At 45.8% G+C, this 13,395-nt stretch overlaps 1 protein-coding gene across 2 annotated transcripts in view, besides 4 other annotated features; it reads left to right on the top strand.

Annotated features, from left to right (window-relative positions):
• ZNRF3 (zinc and ring finger 3) overlaps positions 1-13,395 on the top strand; it is a 173,917-nt gene that overhangs the window by 118,516 nt on the left and 42,006 nt on the right. The window lies entirely within an intron of this gene.
• Positions 966-1,777: an enhancer, noted in NCBI's record as "H3K27ac-H3K4me1 hESC enhancer chr22:29399041-29399852 (GRCh37/hg19 assembly coordinates)". NCBI's record gives its function as "activates a minimal SCP1, AML or CMV promoter by ChIP-STARR-seq in naive H9 embryonic stem cells {active_cell/tissue: H9 hESC(naive)}" and the evidence as "EXISTENCE:reporter gene assay evidence [ECO:0000049][PMID:30033119]".
• Positions 1,778-2,587: an enhancer, noted in NCBI's record as "H3K27ac-H3K4me1 hESC enhancer chr22:29399853-29400662 (GRCh37/hg19 assembly coordinates)". NCBI's record gives its function as "activates a minimal SCP1, AML or CMV promoter by ChIP-STARR-seq in naive H9 embryonic stem cells {active_cell/tissue: H9 hESC(naive)}" and the evidence as "EXISTENCE:reporter gene assay evidence [ECO:0000049][PMID:30033119]".
• Positions 2,588-3,398: an enhancer, noted in NCBI's record as "H3K27ac-H3K4me1 hESC enhancer chr22:29400663-29401473 (GRCh37/hg19 assembly coordinates)". NCBI's record gives its function as "activates a minimal SCP1, AML or CMV promoter by ChIP-STARR-seq in naive H9 embryonic stem cells {active_cell/tissue: H9 hESC(naive)}" and the evidence as "EXISTENCE:reporter gene assay evidence [ECO:0000049][PMID:30033119]".
• Positions 8,798-9,635: an enhancer, noted in NCBI's record as "NANOG-H3K27ac-H3K4me1 hESC enhancer chr22:29406873-29407710 (GRCh37/hg19 assembly coordinates)". NCBI's record gives its function as "activates a minimal SCP1, AML or CMV promoter by ChIP-STARR-seq in naive H9 embryonic stem cells {active_cell/tissue: H9 hESC(naive)}" and the evidence as "EXISTENCE:reporter gene assay evidence [ECO:0000049][PMID:30033119]".

Genomic DNA, 13,395 nt, shown 5'->3' on the forward strand with positions numbered 1-13,395 from the left:
CAAAAGTCTCTATATATATCCATTGGCAAGAGGATGGTAGATCCTTATGTATGTCGATGGTCAGGATTCCTTCAATTTCAGCTCAATAGCAGAGTGGCTGGTTAAAAATGTGGAAAGATGGGAGAGCCACTGCCAAATCTCCTCCCATTTTTAGCTAATGATGGTTCTGGAAGGGACTGGCCTGCTATTTCTTACAATTCCAGAAAGTATCCATGAATGTACATGCTGCTGCTGACCAGCCTTAGGGAGGGCCTGATTTCTTATGGGCTTAAAGTTATAGTCCATCAAATCTAAGTTAGGGCAGATAAAAGACAGCTTATCAAAATAAAGGTACAAGAGGTGCCATTTTGAAACCTAATGCTGTAGAAAGGATGTAGGCAAGTAACAGCTGTCAGTAAGCTTCCCACCCCTGCTGCGCTTTCGGTGTGTTTGAAAAGAGAACAACTCCAAGTTCCATTTTAGAATGTTAAAGATCTAAAAAATGTTTCCAAATTAATTTTTCTCTCAAAGGTTTGCTGATGCGCACCAGACTGTAAATAATTGCCCTAACTGATGGCCAGGCCCTTATTCTCAGAAGGGGATATAGGTGTCTTTGTGGGATGGGTATCCTTAAGCAGGATCTGTGCTCCTAAGAACAGCAGCAACAGGCAGTGCAGGGACCTTCTGTTGAATTCTACCTGTAAACCACAGCCTGTCTGGAAGGTCTGACTCCAGGCCACTCAGCCTTGGCAAGCATGTACTTCCGAAAGCGCCTGGCAGAAATGGGAGCTGATAGACAGGCGCACATGGCAGGGGGAGATCCTTGTGCAGTGGCTTGACACTAACTAGACCAGAGACCATTTCCCATGTTCTTTTTCATAACACCAGAAGCACCAAGGAAAGAGAAGAAAAAAATTTTGCACTTATTTTTGGGTCTTTTCTATCACATGAAATTCATCTGAAACAGTTCAAATTTTGTTTGATGTTTTAGCACCCCATTTTTCCTGTTATAAGATATTCAGTCTCTCTGCAGATATAATGCAATTGGCTTTTATATCATGATTATGTTTTTAAAAATAAAATAAATGGAGTTGACTACCACACAGAAGTTTTACTTGGGATGGAAATTGACTCTTCACTAAAGGTCAAAATAGAATCCATTTGTTTTGGCTGGGCGCAGTGGCTCATGTCTGTAATCCCAGCACTTTGGGAGGCCAAGGTGGGCGGATCACGAGGGCAGGAGATAGAGACCATCCTGGTTAACACGATGAAACTCCATCTCTACTTAAAAAAATACAAAAAAATTAGCCAGGCGTGGTGGCGGGCGCCTGTAGTCCCAGCTACTCAGGAGGCAGGAGAATGGCTTGAACCCGGGAGGTGGAGCTTGCAGTGAGCCGAGATCGCGCCACTGCACTCCAGTCTGGGTGACAGAGCAAGACTCCGACTCAAAAAAAAAAAAAAAGAATCCATTTGATGTGCACGCATCTCTTAAGAAGTGACTGAAGGCTCGTGCCTGTAATCCCAACACTTTGGGAAGTCAAGGCAGGAGGATTGCTTGAGCTCAAGAGTTGGAGACCAGCCTCGGCAACATAGTGAGACCCTGTCTCTACAAAACATTAAAAAATTAGCCAGATGTGGTGGTGCATGCCTGTGGTCCCAGCTACTCGGGAGGCTGGAGCGGGAGGCTTGAGCCTGGGAGGTGGAGGCTACAGTGGGTGGTGATCCTGCTACTCCAACCTGGGTGACAGAGCAAGACCCTGTCTCAAAAAAAAAGAAGTGACTGAATTACATAAAGCTGGATCTCTTACCAGCCCCCTGCATACCCCAATCCCTCTGTCTTTGCTTAGGTTGGGCTTTCTTTTATGAATAATAGAAAATAAGAAAATTGCCTGTTTTGGGCAATCCAGGTGTGTTTCAGAGATTTGGAGTTAAAAAGTCAAGTAAATATTTTGGCAACCCAACAAAGGTAAGAAAAGAAGCATGCACCTAACGGGCTTCTCGAATTACAGGCTTGTCCAAACACTGCCTTCCTCAAGAGACGCTGGTCAGGGACAAAGCCTGCCCTGCTGTCAACAGCAAGGCCCGGCTGAGAAGTGGGCTTGCTTCTCTTGCTGGTCCTGGCCCTGAGCCAGATAGGACGCCATTTGACTTTGATTCAGTCTGACCCAAGAGAAAATATACCATCAGCAAGTGGAGGATCTTTCCTCCTTAACAGACTTTAGTCATATTGCTTCTTCTTCCTTGCTGAAAAAAAGCCCAGGTAGATTTTTCTCTCCCGTTAAATTGGAACCCTGAAGTTAGGAGGCACAGTATCTCAGATACTGTCAGATAACAAGAGCCACCTTTTCAGTCTCTGTAACTTCATCTATCTCGAGGGTTGGGAGGCAGACAGCTATGAAAGAAGACCCAAAAGCAGCAGAATCTGGGCATCCCAAGTGTACCCGAAGCACGCCAGTCTAGGTGGCCCCTCTGTCACCTGGTTTAAGAACAGACATCTTAGAAGGAAGGAGCTCTGACCAGCTAGTGGCATGTCTCCTTTCAAGCTGTGCTTTGTGTCTCTTCAACAGAAAGGCAGACATCAGAGAACTGCCTCTCTTCCTCGCCCTCCCCCAGTGGCTTCCCCTGGATCACCTTGGCAGGGCCTCATCCTGAGGAGGGTGGGTGGAGGAGGGAGGAGGGCGGGTGGCGGCTGCAGTGGCGGCTCCTTTGATCACCTCCCGCCCGGTTCCAGTCCCTGCTGCCAGCAGGCCAGCCAAAGGCCCGACTCTACTGATCTGATGAGGTGCTGAATAGGACCCGAAGGGCAGGGACAGAGCAAGAAGAAAGCTTCGGGAATGAAAAGGAAACCCCGTGAACCTGCTCGGCTTCATTGGCCGGATTTTCCTACCAGGGAGCCGCTCAGTTCCTGCCAGCCAGGGACTGCCTGCCCCTCACTCTGGCCCCTCTTGTCTCCGCTTTTCAGACCTTTGTGTGTGTTTTGTGTTTGAATCACGGCTGCTCTCCCTGGTTCTCAGGCTGGGAACCCACTGCGCCTGTTTCCATGGTCACTGGGAAGCTCTTAGCGCCATGTGCTTCAAAGGGAACCTTTCCCCTCCCAGCACTCGCTGCTGCCTGCCCCAGCCAGGCTCACAATAAGCGGCTCCTCCAAGCCAGGCCTCTGACCCTCACTTGCCAGGAGGAAAACCTTGCCTTTGCCAAGCAAGGCTGTGCAGCCTCACAGAAATATTCCTCAGCAGAGCATGTGGATGCACACACACTTGTGGCACATCAGTCCTCACGTGCCTACTTGTAGATTTTTATGAGATATAGAGCTTATAGATTGGTGAGAGAGTGTTAACTTTCCTCACATCCCTCTGTTTAGGAACCTTTCTGAAATTGAAGAAAAGAGCAAAGCCTAAGCCCCTTGTAGGAAAAGAGATGAGCTTGTTTGGGGTAGGAGGAAAGGAGGAAGAAGACCCATGTCTTTTGGGTCAGCAGAGAATGGAATTGAAGAACTTAGCTCTGGGCTTCCTCTCCCTGCAGCTGGGGTGGTGAGGGTGGTACCTGTTCACTCTTCCAGGGCCAAGGATGCCTGAGCAGTTGCCCACCAGGCTTGAAATTTGGCTTTGCTTATTTGTTGAATAATGCAGGGGAATGAAGCCTCTCACATCTGACTGGAGAGAGTCAGTGGTCTAGTGATCTTGGAGGGCTGCTACATGATGACACTGGAATTAAAAGGTGACTGTCAGGCCAGGCGAGGTGGGCGGATCACCTGAGGTCGGGAGTTCAAGACCAGCCTGACCAACATGGAGAAACCCCGTCTCTACTAACAATACAAAATTAGCTGGGCGTGGTGGTGCATGCCTATAATCTCAGCTATCGGGAGGCTGAGGCAGGAGAATCGCTTGAACCCTGGAGGCAGAGGTTGCAGTGAGCTGAGATTGCGCCATTGCACTCCAGCCTGGGCAACAAGAGTGAAACTCTGTCTCAAAAAAAAAAAAAGACTGTCCTCTGAAGAGCTTATGTTTTAGATGCAAAGCCTGCTCCCCTAGCTTGGAGCTCACAATATTAATATCTGCCTTGGGCTTATTGCACTATATAGAGCCTGTATGGGAAATTGGACATTTCTCCAGTATTACCAGTGATCAAGGTTCTTATCATCCGTTTCTTTTTTTTTTTTTTTTTTTGAGACAGTTTTGTTCTTCTTGTCCAGGCTACCGTGCAATGGCACAATCTCGGCTCACCGCAACCTCCACCTCCCGGGTTAAAGCGATTCTCCTGCCTCAGCCTCCTGAGTAGCTGGACTTACAGGCGTGTACCGCCACGCCTGGCTACTTTTGTATTTTTAGTAGAGATGGGGTTTCACCATTTGGTCAGGCTGGTCTCGAACTCCTGACCTCAGGTGATCTGCCTGCCTCGTCCTCCGAAAGTGCTGGGATTACAGGTGTGAGCCACCGCACCTGGCCCAGTTGGGCTCTTTTGACTCCTGATATTGTCTTTCCTTATCGTTCCTGGTTCCTTATCAGTCTCCAGGCTGGCTGCTGTTGGAGTGTGGGTGGCCCCCTGCAGAAGACACTCTCAGTAGTTGTGCTCCATGGCTTTCTGTGTAGTGATGGGAATTTCAGGGCCATTTCAGATGTGCCCTTTGTATTACTAGAATAAAGTGCACCTATTTGGTATTAACTCTAATTTCTACTTGTAACTCATGATTCTGGAAAAGGTTTCTAAAACTTGCAGACTTGAAGCTTCCATCATTGTACCAAAATCTGTCTTCTCTGGCCACATGTAGCATTTTAAGGGTAGGTTTTGATAAAGTCTTAGCCCAGGAGCCGCAGCATCCCAAAGATGCTTTTCTGTTAGAACATGCATACACAGACCTAAAAGTTAGTACATTTGGCATGCCTGTGAAAAGCAAACTGAAGAAGAATGCTGGCTACCATAAAACAGGTGTCATGATTGCATTCCTACTGTATGCCAGGTGTTTTCACACATTATCTGAAATCCTTACAGTATCCCCGGAGAGAATTGTTATCAGATGATCATTTTGCTGCTAATGCAGGGAGGAGGGGACAGAACGACTTGAATAACGTGTGTGGTCATGCAGCTGGTCTGGGCAGAGGTGGGTGGGAGCAAAGGCCCCTGGCTCTAATGAATGGTCTTCACAGGGGTACCTACCAGTGGTTTTGGGATTACTTTGAACAGATTCTAGGGGGAAAGTTTGGTTAAATTTAGGTAACTGGTTTCTCATCATTTGGGTACTTGGGAACCTAATAAGTGGACAAAACGTCCCACTGAAATTATCTTGTTCACGTCATGCACGGTGGCTCATACCTGTAATCCCAGCACTTTGGGAAGCCAAGGCAGGGGAATCGCTTAAGGCCAGGAGTTCAAGACCAGCCTGGGAAACATGGCGAGACCCCCATCTCTACAAATTTTTTTTTTTTTAAACTAGCTGGGCCTGGTGGCACCCACTTATAGTGCAGCTACTCAGGAGGCTGAGACAAGAGGATCGTTTGAGGCTGCAGTGAGCTGAGCTGTGATCGCACCATTGCACTCCAGCCTGGGGTGACAAGACCTCATCTCTAGAAAACAAATCTCTCCTATAGCTTTTAATTTGCTCCTGATCGTTCCCTTTTGTAATATTTTTATCATAGCTCCCCTTTTTCTTTTATCAGTTTGCCCCTTTCATAGAAATTCCATTTCTTCCTTTTTTTTTTTTTTTTTTTTTTGAGACAGAGTTTCACTCTGTTGCCCAGGCTGGAGTGCAATGGTGCGATCTCGGCTCACCACAACCTCCGCCTCCCAGGTTCAAGCAATTCTCCTGCCTCAGCCTCCCAAGTAGCTAGGATTACAGGCGTGCACAACCATGCCTGGCTAATTTTGTATTTTTAGTAGAGATGGGGTTTCTCCATGTTGGTCAGGCTGGTCTCGAACTCCCAATCTCAGGTGATCCACCCACCTCGGCCTCCCAAAGTGCTGGGATTACAGGCATGAGCCACGGCGCCCGGCTCAGAAATTCTATTTCTTTCCTTTTTGCAAAGTTACCTGAAATTGTACCTCTCTCATTTGTATGCTCAATGAGGAAGGAAATAAGAGAGGGTGGCACAATTAATCTGTGTTCAAAAATGTCATCATCACTGTGTCTCGTTTGATAAGCAGATTGTATTCTTACTAGTGAGAGTAGAAGATCCTGAATAGTTCAGAGTCTGGCCAGGGCACCACAACCACACATTTCAGAGCACTGGGCCATGGCTGTGGATTCCCCCGAGGAACGAGTTTGCTGATGACCCTGTTTGTGCTCTCCCTGAGGGTGATGGTTTCACTTATTCCATGCTCTGAGCCAACTCTCCTAAGATTCTTTTATCTAACATGGCCTGCAGAAGTTAATGGTGGCATGATTTACTTTGACTATTTTAGATGCCAGGCGTGTGTCTTGAAGAGACCAGTGAAGAGGGGCTTGAAGTTCTGATTCACTCGAACTTTTTTGGGTTTTATGTCTTTCCTTTCTCGTCAGCATCAAGGCCATCTAACTTCAAGGCTGAATGAATGAGTTCTGTTTTCCTTAATAGGGAGAGGGAGGAGATGGCCTAGGACTCATTCACAGCTGTGTGTGTGGAAAGTGCATTGGTGATAGATCTTGACTTATTTAGTGATTTTTCAGAAGATTGTTGGTTTTTCACTGGTAAGACCAACAACTATCCTTGTTAACCAGCTTTAACCAGAAGGACTAAGGAAGTTGGACATCTCGTACCACTCGCAATTGATTTTCTAATGCAGTTCTCTTGTTTAAATTCTGTGGCTGTGATAATCTAGGTAGCCAATTACTCTTTTTTGTTAACTAAGAAGATTTATACTGCTGTTGTGCTAGGGTTTGTAATTTAAGGTGTGGACATGTCCAGGATGTTAAATTTAGCTTGTGTCTCAAAACTAGAGCTATCCAAACTCTTTTTTGCTCTGGTTGCCCTGGTCCCTTGATGTTCAGCAAGCAGCTTTGCAGTGCCCACAGCACTCCGGCCTCCCTCCTTGGTACTGCAGGGCCACTGTGAAGAGGGAATCAGGACAGGATCCTTCAGGTCTTGGCTTAGGCATCTTTTTTTCCTAAAAGTCTTTCTGGACCAATAGTCTGTCAGCAGGGACGGCTTCACAGAAGAGATGAAACTCAACTTTTAAGACTGGCTGGGTTTGGGGGAGGGAAGAGACCAAGAAGGAAATTCCAGCAGTGGGGCTGGCAGGAGCAGAAATAACATGTGGCGTATCCCAGAGCCAGTCAAAAAGAGCAACTTGACTGGGCGTGATGGTTTTAGCAGGCAGGAGAAGGTCCCCTTGATAAGGAAGGCATTTCCAGGGAGTGCATCAAGAGGCATGCAGAATAATCTGTCATAAGAGTAGAGTTTAAAAAAATAAATTCAAAAAAAGAGGCATGCAGAAGAGTAGTGCGCGGTGGAGGGAGGGAACAGGATGTGCTTAGGCCTAGAAATAGATTGCCATTCTGGTCATTTCCATGATATTGCTGTGTATTACTGTTCTGTGGCAATTTAAGTAAAAGAGAGGAATAAAACTTTGTAATGTATTAGAGACCTTAAAACTTAAAATCCAAGAAGATTTTTATATACCTGAATTAAAAAGTGGGACTTGGTAGAAGTTACCCAGGAAACATAAAAAAATGAACAGCCTTCTCATTTCCCCACTTCTGTGGTCCTAATTCTTTGACCTTGAATCTTCTCTCTCTCTTTAAAATGGTGGTAACTATATACATCATATAAGCTTCACCATTAAGTGTACGAGTTCAGTGGCATTAATTAAGCACATTCACTCTGCTGTGCACCCATCATCACTGACCATCTCCAGAACTTTTTCCTCTTTTTTTTTTTTTTTTTTTGAGACAGTGTCTCGCTCTGTTTCCCAGGCTGGAGTCCAGTGGCTCAATCTCGGCTCACTGCAAGCTCCGCCTCCTGGGTTCATGCCATTCTCCTGCCTCAGCCTCCCGAGTAGCTGGGACTACAGGCATCTGCCACCACGCCTGGCTAATTTTTTTTTGTATTTTTAGTAGAGATGGGGTTTCACCGTGTCTGCCAGGATGGTCTCGATCTCCTGACCTCGTGATCCACCCGCCTCGGCCGCCCAAAGTGCTGGGATTACAGACATGAGCCACCGCACCCAGCCCCTCTTCTTAAACTGAAACTCCATACCTATTAAACCCAGGCTCCTCACTTCTGCCTCCCCACAGCCCCTGGCAACCACCATTCCACTTTCTGTCTCTAGGAATTTGACCACTCCAGGTCTTTTGTGAGTGGAGTCGTGTATTTGTCCTTTTGTGACTGGCTTCTTTCACGTGGCATAATGCCTTCAAGGTTCGCTCTTGTTGTAGCATGTATCAGAATTTTATTCCTTTTTATGATGGAATTATATATATCCCATTGTATCTACATACCACGTTTTGGTTATTCATTCATCTATCTATGGACACTTAGGTTGTTTCCACCTTTTGATTACTGTAAATAATGCTACCATATATATTCTGTATATTGATCCCTTACCTGATATACATGAAATAGTCTTTCTCATCCTGTGGCTTGCCTTTTCATCCTATTGATAGTATCCTTTGATACACAAAAGTTTTTTCTCATTTTTGTTTGTTTGTTTGAGACAGAGTCTCACTCTGCACCCAGGCTGGAGTGCAATGCTACCATCTCAACTCACTGCAACCTCCGCCTCCCAGGTTCAAGCAGTTCTTGTGCTTCAACCTCCCAAGTAGCTGGGATTACAGGTGTCCACCACCATGCCCAACTAATTTTTCTATTTTTAGTAGAGATGGGTTTCATCCTGTTGGCCAGGCTGATCTCCAACTGCTGACCTCAAGTGATCCACCCGCCTCAGCCTCCCAGAGTGCTGGGATTACAGGCATGAGCCACCATGCCTGGCCAAAAGTTTTGACTCTTAATGAAGCCCACTTTATCCATTTTTTCTTTCGTCACCTGTGCTTTCGGTGTCTCTTCTCTTTTTTTGTGCTTGCTCTTTAATTCATCTTCATCTACCTTTTTTTTGTTTTAAACACATAGAAGGTTACACAAACATATCTTCCTACTCAGCCTTGGTTTATAATTTACTGTTGCCCTAAGAATTTCAGAAAGGAAAAGAATTCTTGCTTCCCTGGCTAGGCTCTTGGGGTCTTGATGTGCAAGAAGAAATGCTGTTGTGAATACAAAGAATGATGAGGAAGTATACAAAAGGTGCCCTAGGCTGGCTGCGGGGGTCCAGCAGGCTGGCTACATTATTCTGTGGTCAACCTCTTACAAATGGGGTGCTCCTGTCCGTCTCCGTGGCCAGCTGCCACCAGCCCTATGGTGTGAATGGCAAGGAAGTGGGGACTGGCGGCTGGCCGAACTCCAGGATGCAGCCTTGGCTGGCAGAGAACCAAAGGCAGAGGGGGAAAAACACTCTTGAGTATGAGAGAAATAATGCTAGCTCCGAAACCTATAATTCGCAAGTTTAAAAAAATTTAAAAAATAAAAAAGATTTTTCAACCAAACTGTGCTTTTATCTTTAGGTTCTGAATGGGAGATTGTTCACACAGCTAAGCTGGCTGCAGAAGCTAGGCCAGTTAAAACAATATGCAGGCAGCTCTCCTCTAAGTAACCAGAAACTGTTGGCTCAAAGGAGCCTGAACCGAGGAACCAACCTGCTGGGAGACGTTTTCCAAGTAACTCCAAGCAACAGCCTGAATGTAAATCCTCCCGCTGGGGAATGGCACTTTGGCAAATGAAGACCCTAATTAGAGATGGAAGGGTTTCTATTTTGTTTTTCTTTAATCCTTACCCTGGGGCCTTTGCAGGGCCACCATGTCTCTGCTTGTGTGCAAAGAAATTTCCAGCTTCTCTTTGTAACAAGATCCTCTTTTGGGAAAGAAGCAACAAGCCGACAATGTGGGCCCACCACAGCCGGGGGACCCTGCAACCAGCCTAATCCAAAACAAAAAGGCCTGGTCTGGGCCGGAGCAGCTGGGTCACCTGGATTGGCCAAGTCGTTTGAAGTTGCTAGCCAAGTTGGATCTTATGTTGCCCCTGCCCCGTGAGACACTCAAATCCGTGCTTAGAGTGCAAGTGAAGTTTCTTAACTTCCAAAGGAGAACAGCAGTGTGAACAAAATGCAAAGCAGTAAGAGAGAACTGTAGCTCTGAGGCACTAGGGCCAAGGTCCAATTGAATGGGTGTGGAGCCCTCTTATCTCCTCAGCCTTCTATTTGGGTCTTCACTATTGGATCTAAACAGTGAAGCAGAGGGACTATGCTCTCTTTCAAATTGATCACCTTAGTTCTCAAAACATCCAGAAGTATCACATACGTGGAGAACCTGCCCACGCCAGTGTTGTTTTGTTGTGGGTGCACCATTGACTTACCCAGTATTCTCAAGGTCTTCGAACTGATGATTCTGCTCAATTTCATTTCTCTTTGGCCCTGGAAAGGCAGTTGAGTAGAGCTCTCTGGGACCAAAGTATCAAGCTGGTCAGTGAATGATACAATCAATTTTAGATAGTTGTGGATAACTGAAGTGAAAACAAAGACATACCTTTCAGCATCCTTTACACTGGTAGGTGTAGGAAGGGCCCCCATCGAGGGCCGTTAACTTACTTGTTAAATTCGCAGCTTACTACAGGATGCTTGTGTCTAAGTGATTTCAACTTCTGAAGGGGAATTACACATTTTTTAGTCTTAACATAGGAAGGATGCTTCTCCCTAACCACGACTCCATGCTGAGTCTCAGGCTGGGCTCTGTCCAGATAGAATCATCTTTAATATTTACAACTCTGTGATCTGGTTGGTACCCTGCTTTAAAGATGAATACATTGAGACTCAGGGGAAGGGGCTAAGCTACAGACATCAGCCATGGCTCCGTCCCAGGTTAGCTCCAGACCTCCTGCTCTTCTCATCAGTTCTGTCCTTTGAGTTACTTAAGCGTATAGATGGTAGTTGATACAGTTCTGCATAACAGACTGATAGGTTCCTGACCAACAGTCTGCTCCTACCCCCTCTTTTTTGGGAAGCCGAGTGCTGTTGAAGAGCCACCCATTCCTGGTTGCCACATGGTAGACAAATATGTCTGCTGCATTTACTTCCCAGAAGTCCTCAGCTTGCTCATGCTGTCTAAAGTTAGCTTTCAGGGAATCCCAAGATGTTTCTTTTTCAGCTCTCTGCTTGTGGTCAGGCTGCTTCAACTTGGAGAAAAACGGCCCATTCTGTTAGCTGTCGGGCAAAATGATGACTGTGAAGAGTATCCCTTCCATGCTAGTAACTTCCCCTGTTCCAACTTCTCAGTTTAATTTTCAGTGAAGCTTCTAGAAACCACTTAAAGTCATTGGGAAACAGGTACATCAAGGACTAAAAAGAAAACTGGTTTTGTAGATGCAACATTGATCCCTCTAAAAAGATAAGGCAAGACGACACCTTGCCCTTTTGTCTTTGATTTTATTCCTTGGCTCCTTGGAACATGTGCTGATTAAATGGCAAAATATGATGGCAATTTTTACCCTTTGTTATTATTGAAAATCTTTGCCAAGTTACAGTTACAGCTAATTTAAAGCTGTATCCAACCAAAATGGTGTTAAGAGAGGGTCCCTGATAATTTGGATGTCAACTTGCACTTGTACCTAATGAACAGCTTGACTCATTCCTGGCTAAATTTATGACAGTGGCTTTGGAAGGGGACTCAGATATCAAGAACCAGATTCTATCACAGATTTTTAGATTACTTGTATAGGCCATAAAAGCGTGATGATATGGAGTAAATTGAATAATACTGGATTTTTGGCATTGCTGCTTCATTAGCATGAGGCACTGGATGGGGCAGGCGTGGAGGCCTGGTTAGGCTGGGCGCAATGCTCTAACATAAGCAACCATGGGCCTCACAGAATATTGGTGGTAGCCTTTCCCAGGATGGTCTTGCATTGCTAATAATGCTAAAAATGTCTGTGTTCAGAGAAAAACATTATGAAAGTCTTAATAGTCTCAATATTATCCCCTAAATAGCTTTTCCCTGGATTTTTTTCATCTGTCCTGGTCGTTTCTGTGTCATTGCTGTAAAGTCACACAGCCAAAGTCACACAGCCATTCCGAGTATTGCAGTGACAACAGCAAGGATCCCAGCCAAAATCTTGTCCTCAGGAAGAGCTGAGACATGTTACTCTAATTATCACTGATGGTTTTATTGCTTTGGGGTCATGTCTCACCCCTTACCCCCTCACTTAGTGGCATATTTGATGTTGTTCAGTCATCTGAAGTCACTCATTTATCCCCTGAATGTCCCCACTGGTTCCCCCAGTGGCAGCAGTCCCCCGGCCTGCAGGAGTTGTAGTGCAGGCTTGGGTGATGTGATTCCTGATGTAGGTGAGACCCCTGAACCAAGAGCAGTTCAGCAGCTGCAGCTGCTCAGAAGCTAGGCTTACACACCATCTCCCTGCCGCTCCGTGTTTGACAGAAAGCAGAGATGCTTCAGCCTCCTAGCTGCACTTAAAGGTAGCCTGGATGCAGTGAGCTTGACTAAGTATCTCCCTTTTGTAGCTCAGTGTAAAATACAGACTCTGTTTTTGGAATTCATTCATATGTTTATTAAGCACTGCCTGTATCCCAGGCAGTGTGCTAGACGCTGCAGATACAGTACTTATTAAAGTAGACAAGTTCACTGCCCCCATGGGGCTCCTGGTCAGTAGAGGAGACACAGAGACAACTAGCAGCAAGTAAACACAAAGACAACAAACAGGGCAACTGCAGATTGTGATGCAGCTGCAAGGCCAACAAACTGGGTGAGTGGGGCTTTTCTCTGCATAGGCTGCCTCGAGCCAAGAGCTCAGAGTCAAGGTTCCTGAAAGAAGAGAGGGAAAGATTCCCACAGCCCACTCCCCACATCAGAGCTTGCCTGCCTCCGCTCCGTCATCTGTTCTTTGACACATCTGCAACCTGGGGTGTGCTCTGATGCTTCCTGTCATTCTGTCACTTTCTAACCCATCAAACAGCACTTTGCTACCATATAAGTATTAGTATCTGCCTCCTGTCTGCTAAGAAATAAAATGAAGGCACTCAAGTCTTACAGAAAGTTAGCTCCTTTATTTTAGGTATCTCGTTAAATATTCTCTACTTGATTATTATGTGACAGTTGCTTTTAAATCCTCTGAAAGTTGCATAATATGCTATGTGATACGAAAGGATGTATATATAAAACCTTTATTTTTCTAATAATTGCCTATAACTTACCAGTTTGAATTGTTTTAACGCTTATTGTAGCCTAAGAAGTCCAAAGTTTAATTGAAATCCAGTTTTGTTTTTTGGCTTTGGGTTAATATTCTTCCTTCCAGGCTGGGCACGGTGGCTCATGCCTATAATCCCAACACTTTGGGAGGCCAAGGTGGGCAGATCACCTGAGGTCAGGAGTTCAAGACCAGCCTGGCC

The sequence above is a fragment of the Homo sapiens genome, chromosome 22 (genome assembly GCF_000001405.40).
Source record: "Homo sapiens chromosome 22, GRCh38.p14 Primary Assembly".
NCBI lineage: Eukaryota > Metazoa > Chordata > Mammalia > Primates > Hominidae > Homo > Homo sapiens.